Consider the following 19,910-nt stretch of genomic DNA (forward strand, 5'->3'; position numbering starts at 1 on the left):
CATAGTCTCAATGCAGATGTCACATGTAACTTTGTTATTAATATTTTAGTTACTTGTGGATATCTCATATCTTCTTTGGTTTCTTTGTTATAGAACATTGTCTTCCCATAAACTTGAATATTGTCCCTTTCCCTTAGAAAAGGGAAATGTGGGAGAGGTGGGGAGATGGTTACATCAACCCAATTTTTGCTTCTTAAAATGGGCTTTTGTTGATGTGAGTCTATGGTCCCATTTATTGTTGTGACAATATCTTGGTAGTGGGAATTACTGGGTATGTTGGAGAACCTCAGAAGGGAGAATGGTCATGTTCTCCAGTGCCGTATCTGAATATCTGAATCCTGCTCTGGAACACAGTTCTTATTCTCAACACTTGATCCTATTCTCTTTATCAAACATAGTTTTTACCTCGTTCTCTGTAAGAGCCAATTCCCAGCCCCATAAAGCCAGGAAATCCAGCAATAAAGAATTGTTCCCAGCAGCATGTTTTGTACTTATATTTTCTTCTTCTTCCTTTTTTTTTTTTTTTTTTTTATTTGTTGTTGTTTAGACAGCGTCTTGCCCTGTCGCCACGCTGGAGTCCACTGCAACCTCCGCATCCTGGGTTCAAGCAATTCTCCTGCCTCAGCCTCCCAAGTAGCTGGGACTACGGGTGCGTGCCACCACACCCAGCTAATTTTTGTATCTTTAGTAGAGATGGGGTTCACCATGTTGGCCAGGGTGGTCTCAATCTGTTGACCTCTTGATCTGCCCTCCTCGGCCTCCCAAAATGCTGGGATTACAGGCATGAGCCACCGCGCCCAGCCAGTACATAGATTTTCTAAAGTGTTCAACACTCTTATCAATTCAGATTCCACCATAATTTATATGATCAATCAAGCACTGCTTTGTTTCTCTGTAGGTCTCCTGGAATACAACATAGTCAGAGATGTGTAGAGTATGGTCCTTCTGGGTTTGCCAAATTTTGTGCTGAAGGAAAATGATGGCTCCACCGCTCTTCCTGCCTAACTCGTAGAAAGGCAGCATGGTATTGTGATAGAAACATGAGCTTTGAAGATAAGCAGTCAGATTCTGATTCCTGTTCTTCTAATAGTCCAGCCTTGTAAAGATCACTTATCCTCATAGTTAGCAAGACTTCCTCATTTAAAAAATTCTTTCCTCATAGGGTTGTTGTGAAGACTAAGTGAATTAAGTTCTGTGAAAAAATCTAGCACAGTGTTTAGCACATGAATAGTTTTCTCCATATATGTGGCCTCTCTCCTGGGATGATCACCTTGTCCCAGTTTGTCCAGGGTTTCCCTAGTTTTATCACAGAAAGTCTCATGTGTACTAGGAATCAATCTCTCTCTTTCTCTCTCTTTTTTTTTTTTTTTTTTGAGATGGAGTTTTTGCTCTGTTGTCCAGATTGGAGAGCAGTGGTGCAATCTCAGCGCACTGCAACCTCCGCCTCCTGGATTCAAGCAATTTTCCTGCCTCAGCCTCCCAAGTAGCTGGGATTACAGATGCCTGCCACCACACCCAGCTAATTTTTGTATTTTTAGTAGAGGCGAGGTTTCACCATGTTGTCCAGACTGATCTCGAACTCTTGACCTCAGGTGATCCGTCTGCCTCTGCCTCCTGAAGTACTAGGATTACAGGCGTGAGCCACCACGCCTGGCCTCTCTTCTCTCTCTCTCACTTGACTTTTCTAGGCTTATTGGCCATTCCTTGAATAAGGTACAGTCAAGTTTTACTTTAGACTTTTAAGTAGCTCAGAATAGAGTTCCTTAGCTTGTTGGTTTTTACTTATTTTTTTCATTAATGTTTCAAGGTATATTATGAGGTTGCATTATTTAATTGCTTTGTTGATTGAGCCAGGCAGATCTTTCATTTATTAGCTGGCCTGATATCAGGGCAGGAAAGCTTATGAGTTACTTTGTAAAGTGATGGTTTTATTAAAGGTGGTAATTTTGATCAGCTGACCTATTGGTGGGTTCTGATTACTTTACAGAAGTGGATGGTATTGACAAGCCTCCATCTACTTGGAAGTTTTAAAATGTGTTCTTTTTATTAAAAGGACTTCATCCTGTGAAACTAGTTTCTTCAAATTGAAGTTCTCTCAGTCTAGGCATGATGAGTTACAAAAATGATTGTTTGTAGTATTTTGGAATTGGTTTCCACCTTTATATAAACTCAAATGTCAATTTAATGTGTTCAGTAAGCCAAGCAACCTTTCTAATGAAACAAGTATAATTATGATTTATTTATATTTTTATTTCATTTCTCATTTTTTTCAGCAATCTTTCCTGTCCTCAACTATGTTTCCTTTTTAATTTAAAAAAATCAAGTAGAAAACAAATATCTGGCTTTTTTGTCAATGTCATGGTCTTATGTCAAGATCTTGAAAGGTATCTCTCCAAATTATTGTTCTGCTATAGTTATTTCTATCAAAGAAGTCCTCTTGTATAGCTATTTGTTGAATTGTGTACCTACTGAATTAGTCAAAGCTCTAGCTAAAACCATTTTTTTCTTTACCTCTCCCCTCCCCCAAAACTTGCTTTTGTTATGTATTGGCTTGCTAATCCTTGTGTTGAGCAGTATCAGACATCACCTTTCTTGGGGGCAGTTAGTCCACTCTTCCGCTTTCTTTGTCAGAGGGCTCCCTTAATAGGAGAAGTCAACAGGGAGGACAAAAAGGATTGAAAGTTGTATTTAATCAGGGTCAGAGAGGTGGTGTTCAGAGTGACGGGCCCACAGGCAGGCTGGCCTTTTATGCTTGCCGACGCAGATGGTCCCAGAGCATTCAGCTAAGTGAAGAGAAAGCTGCCCAGTGAAAGCTATTGTAGGGTAGCATCGTTACAGTTGAGAAAGGTTGCCAGGGGTAACTAGAGAGTATCACCAGTATCGTGTGATCACTAGGCTGTGCCATTGAAAATGTTAGACTGAGGATTGTATTGGGTCCCTTGGCATCTTGATGTTCATATGTAAGCAGTATTAGCTTACATTAGTGTTTTTAATTTAGTTTTTTCTGTTTTCTTCCCTTTGTTCTTTCCCTGCCTTTTTTAATATATAAAACATAGACTTATTTTAATTCACAATTTTGTAAAACCTTCTGAAAACATACCATTATTTAATAATATATCTCTTATAGGCTTTATGGTTTGGTATAAACTATACCAAATTTTTGTGAATAAATTGGATTTATGAAAATGAGGTGTAATATTTCTCGTTTAAACAGCTCTAAGTTGATTTTCCATTGCTCTGAAACTGCCCTAGTATATCCCAAGATGGGTAGTTTGTTTTTCTTTGTGATTTTAAGTAACTTATTTTAAAATATGTTAGTATTTACCTGAAAACAGTAGATAGCATTGAGTGCAGGGTTGTGACCAAGAACTCCCAAATATTTATGAAATCTATCTTCAATTTTTGCCTAAGGCAAAAGTAAAAATATGCATCCCAAATGAGCCAGAACCAAAATAGTGTAACAATCATTGGTCTCAATTTAATATACTTAATATACTTTGAATATGATTTTAATATGCCAGTTTTGGAATTCCTTAATTTCATCCCTTCTATTGTCCCCCGGATATTTTAAGAAATTACTTATAGTCACATACAAAATGTAAACACAGTAGTCTCCTGCCGTCACTAGAGGAAAACACATAGAGATTTCTATTCAATGTAAAAGTGAAATTTGAAGTGTAACTAACGTTCAAGGTGAAATGATAATAACTTTGCAAATTATTGTTTTAACTTAGATTACCAGTCAACCCAATTTAAGTCACCCTTACGTCAGTCAGAGCTGATTTTGACTTAATACTGCTTTCTCACCTGTTGAGAGAACATTAAGTGAGGACAAACATAGTACCATCCTGTAATACCAACATTGGTATTTGAGAGCTAATCATCTCCAATGTTATTATTTTGTGTTAGAGGTAACTTTTAGAAATTGGTGAATTTCAAGTGGAGCCAGGCTTTAAAATGCCTTCTGAGACCCCCACTTAATAGTTCTGACTCTAAATTAATTTCACACCTTTATTGAAAAATCTCAAATTTATGTTAAAATGAGCTGTTTGTTTCCTTCCTTTCATTAAAATACAGCTGAGTCATTTTCATTTAAAACAACTCATATTCCCATAAATAAGAACATTTGTCACAAAAAGTTAATGAATCTGGTAAAATTTAGAACTAAGATTCTAAAAGGTCTATAGATACGGCAAGAAAACTGTTTTTTGGAAAATTGAATTTTTATTAAAAAATCAACACAATGTGATTTCCCTTTATTTCCTGAAGAATAATAATTAGATTATGCTATTCTTTTATCATCATAGTTTTTTTTTAAAGGAAAATCATAATATGATCATCTAAAAGACTTAGGGAAAAAAATACATCTGTATCACTTATGGTGAGGTTGGCTTACCAGGATTTATGAATAAAGATTGTAGTGTCAATGCAAATTTTAATTACATTGCTTCTTTAATGAATCTTGATAAGTCTAAGACATTGAAGTTATAGCATTTTATGGTTATTATTTTTATTTTACCGATCCACTTTTTCTTTATCTATGTACATGATACAGATGTGACTGAAACACATGGTAAACCGAATGACCTTGAAGAAGAAAAGAACAAATTTCCATTTCATGTATTTTCATTTAAATTGACCACGTGACACACACAGTGGGACCAGGGAGATTCACATAAAAAAAAATTTACATTAAACTTCAGCAGAGACTTCCTATCACTTTGGTCTTTGATTCATTACAGGTAACATGAATATGAGAGGGAATGGTACATATTTAGTAGTTATCACATGTCATCACAACATAGATTAAAAAACAAAACCGTTTTTATGATTCACAAGTATAGATATGAATGTTACCTCCTTGATACAGTTTAAAGTTGACTCTTTAAAGATAGTCCTTTTATACAATTAAACCATCCTATCAACATATATTTTAAGTATATAAATTATTATATATGCACTTATAATTTTATACTGGAAATTAGGAGCTAGTAAACTAATTTCAGTTTTGCCAGTTGTTTAAATTTTTCTTTAACGTGAACCAAAACCTTTTTCGATTCCATTATTATGTTAGTAATAGTAATATATGAGTGTTACCAGAACATTAATGATTGGAATATTTAGCAAAACCCATTAATGATGGTGTGAGTTAAGGACTATCCCTATATTTCAGGTATATGGCAGTTATGGTGAGAACGTACAACCAGAATAATCACAATTTATTTGTTACAGTGAATTCCATTTTACGAAGAACTGGCAGGTTTTTTAATCTGAACAATATTCATACCAACTAACATACTTAAGAGGTACTCAGATGCTTGCTGAATAAATGTAGTTTAAGATAATACTTTTGAAAGTTGGCTGACATAAGAAAAATGGTAATCTTTAATGGGAAATTGCAGCCTTTGGTGTTTATTTACAAAGAGTTGGGAACTTTTTAAATGCTGTTAACCCTTTATATTGGTTTGAATCTCATCTGGGATAATTGAGAAGGCTCATTGTCATTTTGAGGATCCCAGACTCCCACAAAAAAAAAGATGAGAGTGGGGTGTTGACTAGAGAGCTCCAAGTGATAAAATCTAGGAAAGAACACTAAAAAAAGGCGTCAGAAGGTTTGGGTTTAAGCCCGCTAATATGTGTTTATTACTTACCTATAAAAAGATTACTTATCTATAAAAAGGTGATCTCTACCTACTTTAAGAATTACTACATTCATGAAATTAGAGTAAGTATGTGAAAGTACATACGAGTTGAGTATTCCTTATCCAAAATGCTTGGGACCAGAAATGTTTTAGATTTTGGATTTTTTCAAATTTTGAGATATTTGTGTTATATACTTAAAGTGGAGCATAACATTTCCTTTGAGTGCCATGTTAATGCTCAAAAAGTTTCTTTTTTTTTTTTTTTTGGATTTTTGAATTAGGGATACTCAACCTGTTCTTGGAAATCTGTAACATATGGTATGCATGTAAATTGATGGTTCAAATAATCACTAATACTACTCACATTGCTGCCACTGCTGATGCCTTATAACTAGTATCAGAAGAGCCTCTTGGGATGTTTATACTGTAGTCTACCCTTATCTTTAGGGAATACATTCCAGCATTCCCAGTGGATGTCTAAAACTGCAGATAGTACTGAACCCTGTATGCATTGTTTTTTCCTATACATACATACATCCCTATGATAAAGTTTAAATTATAAATTAGGCACAATAAGAGAACAACAAGATAGAACAATTATAACAGTATAGCATAATGTCAGTTAATGTGAATGTGGCACTGTACTCACCCTTCTTGTGTTGATGTGAAATTATGAGATGAAGTAAGGTGAATAATGTAGGCATTGTAAGCATTGTGATGTAGTATTAGGCTACTACTGACCTTGAACACAAGCATTGTGATACCTTAACAGTTAATCTGATAACCCAGATGGCTACTAGGTGACTTACAGGTAGATAAGGTATATAGCATGGATACACTGGACAAAGGCATGATTCACATCCTCATGGGGACAGTGCAAGATTTCATCATGCTACTCAGAATGGCGTGCAGTTTAAAACTTAAGAATTGTTTATTTCTGGAATTTTCATATAATATTTTTGGACTACAGCTGACTACGGGTAACTGAAACTGTGGAACATGAACCCACCGATAATGGAAGGCTACTGTATTTTAATATTTGCCAACACTGAGCATTTGAAATGAGCTACTTTGGCAGGAAAGATTATAAATAATTGAGTAGATATCAATGGATGAGCATCATAGTGCTCTATCAGCCCTTTGGGAGACCATGAGTAACCTATCATTTGGTTTTAGCTCTTTGTCTTGATTCACTTTATCAAAATGGGACTATAGATGACTTGTGGTAGGTTCTAGAGTGCAAGAAATGAGAAAATAAGTGAATGAGCTTTGCCCAGCCACAGATTCTTAACAGTGCTGAGGGAATTGTCCTGAGGTCTTTGCAAAATCCTAAATTAATGATTATCACTATAACAGATTTTTCTTTACTTCTTTCCATGTAACATGTATTTTCTTCCAACAGATATTTTTAATTGACTTCTTCAGATCAACATTAGTAGGTGACGTTTTAATAAGCATTCTACATTGTTTCCAGCATTTACCTGATGAAATTAGGATAAAATGCCATTTCTGACTGGTTACTAGCTTCCAAACAGCAGCCTTGTAGAACCTGCCATTCAGATTCATGAGTCAGCAGAATTTATAAATTATGATAGGTCATGGATCTTTGTTTTTTTCCCCAGATTGTCAAAAACACATGCCAAGTGTTGTGCAGCTTTATGTACTCTTTCTTTATATACTAGCCAACAGCCTACAATGGTAGTTCTCATCGTGTGGTCTGTGTACCTCTGGGAGTCCCTGGTTCCTTTCAGTGTCCCTTTCTTCAAGGTCAAATCTGTGTTGCTAGTAATACTAAGAAGTTATTTACCTTTTTCAATGTGTTGACATTTCCACTGATGATAAGGAGTAAGGAGTAAAAGTTCTGGCTCCTTAGAATGAATGAAGGCAATTACATGAAACCTTACTAATAATATTCTATATGTTATTTCTACATGCCTGTAGTTTTTTTAAAAAGCTAGTTAGTTTCACTTAGGAATGTTCTTGAAGCAATAAAAATAATTTTATTAAGCCTCAATACTCTAGTACATGTCTTTGAATATTCTGTATGATGAAACGGGAAGTACTGTACACACAAAATAAAACTCGGTGAACCAGTATTTTCCACATGACCCATTCATTATGTTACAAAATTATGCATGAGTGAAAATTTCATTTACTGTCCAAGAGAGACCAATTTTAGATTTTACATTGTAACTAACTTTTAGGAAACTATCACCTGTTAATTTTGGCCTAGTGTAAAAGAACAGTTTCCATAGGTATGGTAAAAAGCAATTGAATTACTGTTTTCTTTTTCAACTGCATAACTGTGTAATGCCAGATAATCTTCATACCATAGGGGAAAAATACTTTTTTTCAACCCTCATAGATTCTTCATTGGATATGGATACCTATAACAAAAGACAGAAGTTTATTGACATGTATATTTTATATATACATGGGAGACACCCATGGAATTAGTAGTTTTCAAGGTGGCTTTGAATAGAGCATTTTCAACAAAGAACAGTAAGTTTTTAGAGAATACAAGACTGAGGAAAAGGACTTTGAATCTGTAGCCGTAGTAAATTTTGGAAGGGCAAATCAATATGGCGGGTAGAGGCTAGTTGGTGAAGCTTATTAACACAGATTCTTTTCCAGGCTAAAGTTGTCTTCAGTGGTTAACCTTTGTTTCTCCTAGTAGAGAGGTGGGCAGGATACCTTTTGTCTTTGCAAATCTATGTCTTGATTTAGGCAAGTGGAAGGCAGAGAGGTTTCTTGCATCTGCTCCTTCAAAACTACCTTCAGTAGAACAATCCTTCCTATTTTGGGGTAGCATATTCTGGTTTCCCAGAACATACTTCAGTCAAAACAACATATCACAGCAGATTAAATACAGAGCCAGATATGACAACTCAACTATTTTCTAGTAAGCCAGATATGGAAAGACATTTGAAAATACAAAACAATGCCACTCTTCTCATTTCGGAAAATAGATTTTTCATAGAAGTTTCACTTTTATTTATTTTTTATTTTTAAATTAGTGGAGAACTATTTAATTTTTTTTTTTTTAGTTTTAATGTCTAGTATGGGAGATACTAATAGTAACAGACCAAATAAACAAAGGCTCTTTGAGGCTCTCAATTTTTAAGAATATAAAGGGATCCTGAGACTTAAAAATTTGAAAACTGCTAAGCTCTCTCTCACTGTGTGACTCGCCTGCTCGCCCTTTGCCTTCTGCCATGATTCTAAGTTTCCTGAGCCCTCACTAGAAGCTAAGCAGATGCTGGTGCCATGCTTCTTTTGTATATAGCCTGCTGAAGAGTGAACCAAATAAACCCTCTTTTCTTTATAAATTTCACAGCCTCAGGTATTTATAGCAACACAGAGATTAAAATCTTATTAGGGCAAGGGGTATAGCTGGTCCTAAAATTGTAAGATTAGGAACTATACTTTGTATTCTAGTTCATAAGTATAAAAGCCCTGGATGAGAAATTGATCTGAGGAAAGCTTTATTGCAAATTAAAGGACTCAGGAGAATAGATATCGCTGGGCAATGGAGGATATCTCATCATACCCCCCTTGAGCAGTTTGCTTTTATCATGACTTTGAGCACTATCCTTTATGTCTCTGTTCCTCAATTTCTCCAGTTATAAAATAGGACCATTTTTACATCAGCGCCTCCTCTCCCTGTCTTACAGGGGTTTGACAAGGATCAAATGAGTTGCTTTAAAGAGAACATGTGAGATAAGATATCTCCTCACAGTAGGTTTCCAGGATCCTGTCCAGGATGATCACAGTCAGCATGGGGTTAATACACAGATTCAAGAGGCATATCAAAGGAGATCTGATAAGATTTAGTGACTGGATGAATACAGGGAATAAACAGAAATTAGTTAAAAATTATTCTAAGGAGCCAGATGCTGTGGCTCATGCCTGTAATCCTAGCTCTTTGGGAGGCTGAGGCGGGCAGATTACTTCAGCCTAGGAGATCGAGAGCAACCTGGGCAACATGGTGGGACCCAGCTCTACAAAAAATACAAAAATTGGCGTGGCACATGCCGGTAGTCCCAGCTAGCTCCTTGGGAGGCTGAGGTGGGAGGATCGCTTGAGCCTGTGAGGTTGAGGCTGCAGTGAGCCGTGATTGTTCGTGCCACTGCACTTTAGCCTGGGTGAGAGAGCGAGATCCTGTCTCTTAAAAAAAAAAAAAAAAAAAAAAAAAAAAGTTTGTTCTGAGGGCTTAATTGTCAATATTTTAGTAACAAATTGGAGGAATTGGAGAGAAAAGCAAAAAATAGATATTTAAAAACCCAGGCTTTTAAGATCAGGATTGTAGGATTGTAGCACAGAAGTTAAAGAAAAGTGGCCAGAAAAATAATTAAGGACAAAACAGGTAGGGCATGGATGGCTGTTTAAGGTTGGCTTTCAGGAAGCAGAGGAGTTTTGTAAGACAATAGGCAAGCATCGAAAAGAAACTTGGATTATTATAACATGTAGCAGAAAAAATGAAAAACAAAACAAAAAAAACTTGGGTTAGCGTCTAATGGTCGGGGCTGGTTATACAATTTGTGGGATACAGTGTGAATGAAAATGAAATGCAGGCCTTTGTTCAAAAAGCAAGGGGAAAAGTACAGTTAAGAGTGCTAATGTTTAAAGCTTTTTTCCTTTGGGAAGAAAAACATGGTAGAGTTAATAGCAATAAATAAGTAAACACAAATTCAAAATTATGTTTGTGGGTATCATGCTTTTATAAAAGATAGTAAATAAATAATACCTTATCACTGTGAAATCTTGATTAATCATGACTTTCTGGCTCTTTTTTCTGCAAATTCATTTTAGTCATCAAAATTTATACTTTTATAAAGTTTCATTTTTAATTTATATAATTGGAAGTAATGTCAATTATGTTTGGCAAATGCAAGATTACAAATATTTTTTGATAATTTTTGATTTTGAGGACAGGCCTTGTACTGATGCCACTGTTAAGAACATTTTATAGGCTGTGACAACATTAGGATAAATTTCTGATAAATTATTTCAAAATCTAAATTTAGAACATCTAGAGCTAATTTTTAGAACAATTTTTCTAAAAGCTTTAACTCTACAAATCAGTTCTGTGTATAGATTTAATTCTAAGTGTAGATTTATACAGGGGTATTTAAATATTCTTTCTGCTATTTCTTGTAACTTGGAAGTTGTACAACTTCCAAGAAACCAAATGACTTCATGACTTGTATATAATTCAGAATGTCTGTTTGTGCATCCTACCTCATATCTTCAGGTATGAAGATATGGAAACATTAAATTTAAAATAATCCTTCTCATTAACAGTTGGTTCTTCATTAAAACAGTTGGTTCTCATACAAAAATATTGTTCTTTTCAACCAAATGTGACAATCTTTATATTCAATTTCTCTTTCTAAAGCTATTGCTATTTGGTTTGCAATGTTGCAGTGGTTTATAAAACTGGAGATTATAAATGCCTTGATGAATTCTGATATATTTTTGGTGCCATGACTTGGATACTTTGCAATAATATGCTGACAAAGGTTTTACTCTCTGAGCACCAACACTTCCTGTCCTGGTCCTTAGGCTGGAGAGTTAATATTTGCGCATATACTGTTAGGATAGGTTCCAGGAAGAGGAGTACTTTGGCTTTCCACTGTATATCCCCAGTGCTGAGCCGCTCTTTCATGGGGCTGCTGCCATCATTGCCATTGCCAATCTGGGCTCAGTCCTGGCCACTGCCTTGAGTGCCCTGTGTTGTCCACGTCTGTCCCAGGTATTCACATTTGGGCCCAGGCAGCCAGTCCAGCTGCTTAGTGCATATGCTGACACTTGACATATTTCCTCTGTTCTGTGCTCCATTGTCCCACTGGTCTTCATCTACAAAGTACAAGTTCAAAGTCATTAACAAGTTCAAGATGGCGACAAAGGACCGTTCAACTAAATAGAGGCCCCTTTTGAGAGCAAGCCCATGTGTGACTGCACAAGTTACATACCTGGTAAGCTTACTCTGCCCATTTATATTGCCGAAGTACTAAGACTACTAAACTGCCTTTAAATTGCTCTGTTCAGGACTTCCCTAAGATGAACTATTTGACCTTAATGGGACCTATATAGTTGTTAGGGGCAGAGACATGGTAGTTTTCATGCAGGTATTCAGTGAGTTTGTTTTAAAACATGCTACCTTCTTAGTAAGACTTGATACTCCTCTAGGAGCCTTATGGAAGCTGAACTCCCTGGCAGCCAGGACTGTAGCTATTGAATCTGACTGGGGTTCTAAGAGGAAGGCTTTTGAAATGGAGTTCAGACAAACTGCTCTATCAAAATACTCTTGTTGATTTAGTTTGCTGTGTTTTATTCTATATCTTTCTTTTAATTACCACTTGGATTTTTATTATTTCTGATCTTTTTTTGTTTGTTCGTTTGTTTTTTGGTTGAAGGAAAGGGATCATAGATTATTATTTAGCTCTCACCACTGGCTGCTTGATATGGATGGCCTACTGTTTATCAATGCCGATAACCAGAGTTTTGGTGGTTGTTGATACCATATATGTCCCCCTTAATCTTGTAATCTTGTACCTATGTGAGAGACATTTTTAAAGAAGAAAATCAAGAAAAATGTCTCATAGCCTCATTTGTCATTTTTTTCTTCTTTAAGACGTCAACAGATTTTTTTTAGAGGAAGTTTCTCTAACTAAATGTCTTTTGTCCTCTGTAAAATGGACAAGAGTTGAAACAAGCAATGTATATGAAAGGTAAAGACGTCAAAGTCAACACACAGACCCCAGATTGCACTCAGCCACTTCTTTGCTTCCCACAGCATTTCTATGCTGTAAAATGCTGTCTTCAATGAACTAGAATTGGAGTTACTGTTTGATCCTCCTCTTATCCTCTTAACCTTGGCCAAAGATATTTACATTATCACTTCCTAACTGATGTGCCACATCTATTGCAAAAATAAGTTGTGGTGAGCAAGATACTGATTCCTTGTGTTCTCAGGGTGGCCTGGCAGGAGCTTCTGGGTCAGTTGTCTGAAGGTGCCCTGCTCCATTTGCCCTAATGTGCTCTATAAACACCTTTCCTTGAACACTGTGACATGAAAAAGGCTTGGAAGTACTACTTTAAACTTCAAATGAAAAACTCACAAGGAAGTGAAATTCCGTAATTAAGCAATTACCTTTTAACCATTTATGTAATCAGTATTGCTTTTGTTCTTTTTCAGTTTTTTTCTCCTAATTTTAGTCAAGGTAAACATCTAAGCAGCAAGTAATATACTGATGAAAATAAATTTTGAGATTTGTAATCTAGTAATTTGTCTTCTGAGTCTTGTGTTAATAGGAACCAGAGGTCTTAGTAAATGAGAACTATGATTCTGGGTGCTTAAATTGTTTTATCCGCACACTCATTGCGTGAAAGATTTCAGCCTATAAGGAAGAAATTATGTCAGTCTAGAGTCTCCTCATTGTAGAAAAGTTCCCATTTTTATACTTTTGATGATAACAAAGCAGCTCCATTGGATTGTGGTTGACAATAGCAATCTGTATGTTTTTGCTAGCAACATACAGATCATAAGTAGAACATATTTCAGAGTTACACATGATCCAAGAGAAAGTGTGCCGAATTTTGAACTTGGTTGGTAGAAAAAGGTGATTTTTTTTTTTTTGGTAAAGAGATTTTTTTAGATAAACTCTAAGAAAGTAGTTATTTACAGAAAGTACACTGAAGTATAAAAAGATAGTAAACATAGTCATAATGACTATAGTTGCTAGCTATATATTCAGTTTATCTGAGGGGGCAGGAACTTTAGCATCATCTTGTTTTATGAACTCTAATTTACTTATCAATAATTTTTCTTACTAGTTACTTGTTGCAATAACTTATACTATTATACTTCATGTGTGGTTTTGATTTCTTAATGGCAGTATCTTCTTTATTAGTTGACTATGGGAAATATACAAGTATAGTGTCCCCTTGTTTGCAAAGAAAGGGATTCGCGTCTTCACAGTTTACTCACAGCTGCAGTGGTGAGCTGCCCTCTCCTGGTCATCTATGCCTTCCAGAACTCCCGGTGGATACCAGGGAAAATCATACATTTTGCCAAATAAATGGATGTTTTAATCATCTTTGATCTTAACATTATTTTGTGACACTGTAGTATAAAGCTCTGCTGTAGCTCCTTACTTTTCATGTCTTAAAAGACATTGTTGACAGAAAAGATGGGTCATCTTTTTTCTCCCACGTTCTTGTAGGCATTCTATCCACCTGAGATTTTTGCCCCATTACTTCAGTCTTAATGGACAAATTTTGTGCCACCCTTGTTTACTAAATTCTTGAGATTTACTTAGAAGATGTTTCTTAGTTTGTCTATCCACTTTGGGAAAAAGAGATTTTCAGAACTGTCTTAAATAAGTGGATTACCCAAGATGTTCTTTTCATAGAAGATTTTTTGTTACATATTTTCTTAAAAATGAGCATCAGATTTTCTCTACTGTTAATAATTCATGTTGTACATGAGTTTACTGGTGATTCTTCTTAAAACCAGTGCTTATGTTTTTATTTTTTTAATTCTCTATTCTTCAATTCCTATTTCTTATAAGCCCATCCTTATTTTAGACTCTAGACTTGGGGACCTATGGGATTCGCATCAGTTATGGTGCTTAACAAAACTTTAATACCAGAATTTTAGAATCTTACTTTCTTGTTGAAAGTAGCAGTTTATCCCAGCCTTTTCCTATTATATACCTTATATTTTGTATATACTCTTACATTTTCTATATACCCTTATATTTTGTATTTTTAAAATGGAAGGAATGAAAAAAAAACCTGTGGTTTTTATCGTATTTCCCATTTATATTTGTACCTTGCTACTAGTTGCTATTTCTATTAAGATTCCTAGAAAACTTTTTATGACATGTTGTTTCTAAAGTTCATATATATTGTAGTAACTCAGTATAACTCATTATTTACTAAGGAAGCATACTAATATTGCATATCCTCTTTAAAATCCTACAGTTAAGAACAAAAGACTAGAAGACATCAGGCCTTTTCATTTATTAGTCATTTTACCTTTTAGACAATTTTATGTAATTATTTTTCACGTGGCAAATTTCATTGTACACTACACACATACGTTTGCAGAAGGGGTGCAAAGTTTTGGATACATGGAAATTTCTTCTTGAGTTAGCTAGAATTTCTTTTCCTTTTTCAAGTTAAGACAGAAAACCCAGCCAATCAATTCAGTTTTGATAGATTTTAAAACCCTAATCAATACTTTAAAATTACTTATGAAGCAAATTATTAAGAGTAACTTCTAAACGTAGAAAACATGAAAATCACATCCAAATTGTAGAAAGAAGTTATTTACAACAAGGTCAGGGCGTGTGCCACTTCTTCCTCCAGCCAAGACCTTTCCTGAACTTGGTGATCATGGATAAACGAGTGCCCAAGAGTCTTTAATTTGATATATGCATTACATTTCTAAGATCTTAAACTAATACTATCTCTTTGCTTGTCTTTGGTGTTGAGATTGTTTAAACCTTTCAAGACCTGATTTTGAATCCTTGCTGTCATTTACTAGTTGTGTGACAGACTTGCCCACTTCTCCTTTATAATGTGGAGGTAATATTCCTACAATGGATGCTTGTGAAAATTAAACATTAATAAGAATATTAAAATGCATTTTGTAAGCCAATAAATGGCATACAAATGTAAATAGTACTTATAAAATAAAATGCGTTTAATTTTTTAAAAATATATGACATTCCCAAAACGGAAAAAGGTATTACAGTGTCTGTTAAACCAGACTTAATGGAATACTTGATTTTTCTTCTCATAATCAACCAATTACATTAATGTATCAAACCTGTGTACTGATGAAGATATTTTAAATAGTCTTTTTTTTTGTGGAGGGCAGAGAATTGTGTAACTTTTATGTATCCCACTGCCTTTTTTATTGTGTATTGTGAACACACCACAGCAGAATTTAAATAGTTAAATATTTGTTGCCTCATTAAATTGTGGCTTCCTAACTTAACTTCAGATTGCAGAGGACTAGAAAAGTAGGCATTTAATATATTATTTTATTTTACGAGTTTTCTTGATACATAATTGGTTTTGGATATATTTCCTCCTAAGTACAGAGCTAGCACCATAAATTACAAGCAGTAACCAGATCTTTTTATATGCCTCACTTTATATTGCTTAGGCAACCTTCTGTATGCTGTTTTCTCTAGTCCTCTCCATAGCAGTTAAACCTGAACTCTCATCAGAGAAGTAAAAATTTCCTGTAAAATGAGTTGTTAAAAGCTATATGTTTGAAGTGTAAGAGCAGGCCCTTCTAATGTTTAGGAGTTAGCTTGTGAAAAAACAAGCTTTTATCTATGTGTTCTTGCATTTCAGTCTGTATTTCTGAATTTATGTATGTGTGTGGCAGTGTAGGGTAGATGATAAATTTTGTAGCCTAGGAAACCTGTATCCCATCAGGAGAGAAAACAGATGTTCTTCCTCCTGGTTAAGAACTACATCTATCCATTTAGCAATTATGAATCTCTTCCCTAGGTAATACTCTTTGAGAAAGGAATCTTTCAGCAGACAGGATCAAGAAGCACATGATTCATTTTTTACATTATGGGAATGAATCCTTTTACATTTGCCTTCTCCTTTTTCATGCTTTCAGTTTAAATAAAAGTAAGTAGACGTTCCAGTTTAAATCACGTTCCAGTTTAAATACCTTACAGGATGAAAGGTATTCTTTACTTCCTAGGATCCTAGGATTCCTAGTAAAGGGATTCTTTCTTACTTCCTAGGATCAGCGAATTGGAGACACTGTCAGAGATCACGAAAGAAAGTTCGTCATTCCTCCCATCCCCAATCCAGTTCAACCAACTTGTTTCTAGCCATGTTTTTATTTAATAGTTTCTGATTTTAGCTTGTTTTGATTGAAATTATATTATCCAAGTCTTGTTTATGTTTCTCTGAAAGTGGCCAAATACTGTTTGTTCTACTTAAGTAGTATTTGCATCTTTTTCTGTCCTCATGCTACCACTGTAGTTGAAACCCTTATCTCTTACCAAAACATAATCTGTCATCTCGTTGCTTCTCTAAATTTCTTCCATATTGCTGTTGGACTGATCTTCCTAAAATAGAGGTCTCATCATGGCTTTCTGTTTTCCAGCGACCATTTTCCTTTTTCAAAGGTATCCTATTGCCTTTAAAATTGAGGATAGTGTGTTTAGCCTAGAATTGACACCCCTCAGTGTTGGCCCTAGTCTGTTTTTTTCAGGCTGTATGCCATAGCACTCCTTCACATGAGCCAAACTGGATGGTTCAGGCTTTGATACTTCACTACCTCTTTTCTCATCCTCAAATCAGTCTCTGTCTTTGTGATACCCATCTTCTCTTCCTTCATCCCCTCCCCAAATCCCTGCATGTTGAATTCCTACTTCTTCCTCAAGATCTTAGCATAATGCCACTTCTACTTCTTCTTTAAGGTCAGACATAGAAAGAAAAGAGTAGGAACTGTATTTACTGTATCAATATGGTAAAAACAACACTTTAATTCCTTTTTTAAACTAAAATGATTTAACCTACTTCATTTATATAGTTCATCCAAAAAAACAGAATGACCTTCCCAAATGCAAATGCTTAATATGTAAAGTTTAGTTACCATATTAAAGAAGATTCTGCACACCATGCCACTTAGGTATCAAGAAATGATGGTATGGCCAAAATGGGCAAAGGAAGAATGAACTATTACAGACAAAACTATGAAACTCAGAGGAGCTCATAGTACAACTGTAAATTTATTTGTTTTTTTAAATTTAGGGATGTGTAAAGAGCTATAAAGTTCTTGACAGGATTTGATAAATCATCAGGGAAAGTAGTTAATGCTTTAGGGTAAAACATTTTAAAATACAGCTTTAAAAATATATAAAAATAGAGCTTTACACTCCTGTTATTAATTTTTAATTGTCTCTTTATGATGCTAAGCATGTTGGCACTAGACTCAGTTTTAAAAATGTCTACCAGCTTGGCATGGTGGCTCATGCTTGTAATCCCAGTACTTTGGGAGGCTGAGGTGGGAGGATCACCTGAGCCCAGGAGTTTGAGACCAGCCTAGGCAATATAGCAAGACTCCATCTCTACAAAAAACAGAAAAATTAACCAGGTATAGTGGTACACACCTGTAATCTTAGCTACTTGGGGGGCTAAGGTTGGAGGATAGCTTGAGCCGGGATGATCAAGGCTGTAGTGAGCAATGATTGCATCACTGCACTCCAGCCTGGGCAATGGAGCAAGACTCTGTCTCAAAAAACAAAGTCTAACAGTGATGTATATGTTATACCAGTGTTATTTGGAAGATAACTTGAGACTTTTCCCATGCATACTGAATTTTTGGGAAATAAATTTAAGTTTTTCTGTATAAATGGTCAAAAAAATGTTATATTGAGAGAGAGAGAGGTATACTATCCGGAATACAGTCTGTGGGATATGCCTGTACAATTAATTTATCCATTCAGGCCCAGTTTCAAAGGCTTTGGAAGATGGGTTGCAAAGTTTATTAATCCTCATCATTTCTTGGCTAAGATAATTAGTATAATATAAAAAGTCTTTGATTCTCTATTCTGATGACCTGTTTTGATCCTTAGAGACAGAACTAAGGATTAAGGTGAGATGAATCTTCTTAGTTTACTAGCCAAAACAGTATACTCAGCCCTAGAACAGAATTCTCTGTCGCTTGTATTTAGCATTCCCTCTTGCTGAAAGTGTTCTTCTCTTTTTATATTTATGATTTCTATTAATGAAATTGCATCTCTGTCTCCCATTTGGTGGTGGGGGGGAGACAGGGGAGAAGAACAGGGCCTTGCTCTGTCTCTTAGCCTGGAATGAAGTGGCATGATCACAGCTCACTTCAGCCTCGACCTCGACCTCCCAAGCTCAAGTGATCCTCCCACCTCAGCCTCCTGGGTAGCTGGGACTACCATGCACGGCTAATTTTTTCTTTTTTTTTTTTTTTTTTTTTGAGACAGAGTCTCGCTCTGTCACCCAGGCTGGAGTGCCGTGGCATGATCTCGGCTCACTGCAAGCTCCGCCTCCCAGCTTCACGCCAGTCTCCTGCCTCAGCCTCCCGAGTAGCTGGGACTACAGGTGCCTGCCACCACGCCTGGCTAATTTTTTGTATTTTTAGTAGAGATGGGGTTTCACCGTGTTAGCCAGGATGGTCTCGATCTCCTGACCTTGTGATCCACCCGCCTCGGCCTCCCAGAGTGCTGAGATTACAGGCGTGAGCCACCGCGCCCGGCCTAATTTTTTCATTTTTTATAGAGACAGGGTCGCACCATGTTGCCCAGCCTGGTCTTGAACTCCTGGGCTCGAGGGATCCTCTCACCTTGACCTGAGATTACAGGTGTGAGCCATTGGGCCCAGCCTGCATTTTCTTGAAGTTGAAGATTTCCTCTGTGATCACATCAACCCAAGATTCTCTTTCTCTAAGCCCTATTAGCATTTCTTATAATGCCATTCAAGTACCATCACTAACTTGATTGGAAGTTCCTCAGAGCAGGGACTGTGTTTCAGATTTTTTGTTCCCCACAGTGCTTAACACAGAGCCTAATACAAAACAAATTCTGTGTGAATTTTTTGTGAAAGCTCTTGGTATCTCTAATGTGCTCTCAAAACCAACTACTATTATAAGATAATTAGATTTTACTCACTACCAGATTTCTCTACCTGGCCAATAAGGTTTGCAGAAGTTCCAGACCTATCAGGTGTTTATTTGCAAAGAAACAAAGTAGTAAACTTCAAAAGTCATGAATGTACTCTTGAGCCCTGTCCTCACAGAAAAAAAAAAAAATAAGCAAAATTTCTATTTTTTTTTTTGAGACAGAGTCTCGCTCTGTTGCCCAGGCTGGAGTGCAGTGGCGCGATCTGGGCTCACTTCAAGCTCCACATCCCAAGTTCACACCATTCTCCTGCCTCAGCCTCCCAAGTAGCTGGGACTACAGGCGCCCGCCACCATGCCCAGCTAATTTTTTGTATTTTTAGTAGAGACGGGGTTTCACCGTGTTAGCCAGGATGGTCTCGATCTCCTGAACTTGTGATCCGCCCACCTCGGCCTCCCAAAGTGCTGGGATTACAGGCGTGAGCCACCGCGCCCGGCCGCAAAATTTCTACTCTTTCCGAGGGGCTAATGCTGTTCTCAGCTGTGAAACTTTATTGTTGTCAATTCTGGCATTTAATTCTGAATAGGGTGCCATCACCTTCACTACTCTATTCATGTGGTCTTTCAAC

General features: G+C 36.2%; 1 protein-coding gene across 19 annotated transcripts in view, besides 3 other annotated features; it reads left to right on the top strand.

Annotated features, from left to right (window-relative positions):
* Positions 1–19,910, top strand: part of ZCCHC7 (zinc finger CCHC-type containing 7) — a 237,983-nt gene that overhangs the window by 128,779 nt on the left and 89,294 nt on the right. The window contains exon 3 of one of the 19 annotated variants that reach the window (XM_011518051.3): positions 548–11,620. The exons of the other annotated variants lie outside the window; for them this stretch is intronic. Within the exon in view, the coding sequence (XP_011516353.1) occupies positions 11,593–11,620 (28 nt within the window). The 5' untranslated portion in view covers positions 548–11,592. The remainder of the gene's footprint in view (positions 1–547; positions 11,621–19,910) is intronic. 19 annotated transcript variants of the gene reach the window in all.
* Positions 2,265–3,281: an enhancer, noted in NCBI's record as "VISTA enhancer hs901". NCBI's record gives its function as "enhancer in: hindbrain (rhombencephalon)[8/8] | midbrain (mesencephalon)[8/8]" and the evidence as "EXISTENCE:transgenic organism evidence [ECO:0001131][PMID:17130149]".
* Positions 2,271–3,033: an enhancer, noted in NCBI's record as "OCT4-NANOG hESC enhancer chr9:37251213-37251975 (GRCh37/hg19 assembly coordinates)". NCBI's record gives its function as "activates a minimal SCP1, AML or CMV promoter by ChIP-STARR-seq in naive and primed H9 embryonic stem cells {active_cell/tissue: H9 hESC(naive and primed)}" and the evidence as "EXISTENCE:reporter gene assay evidence [ECO:0000049][PMID:30033119]".
* Positions 2,747–2,806: an enhancer, noted in NCBI's record as "active region_28381". NCBI's record gives its function as "activates an Ori minimal core promoter by ATAC-STARR-seq in GM12878 lymphoblastoid cells {active_cell/tissue: GM12878}" and the evidence as "EXISTENCE:reporter gene assay evidence [ECO:0000049][PMID:35858748]".

The sequence above is a fragment of the Homo sapiens genome, chromosome 9 (genome assembly GCF_000001405.40).
Source record: "Homo sapiens chromosome 9, GRCh38.p14 Primary Assembly".
Taxonomy (NCBI): Eukaryota; Metazoa; Chordata; class Mammalia; order Primates; family Hominidae; genus Homo; species Homo sapiens.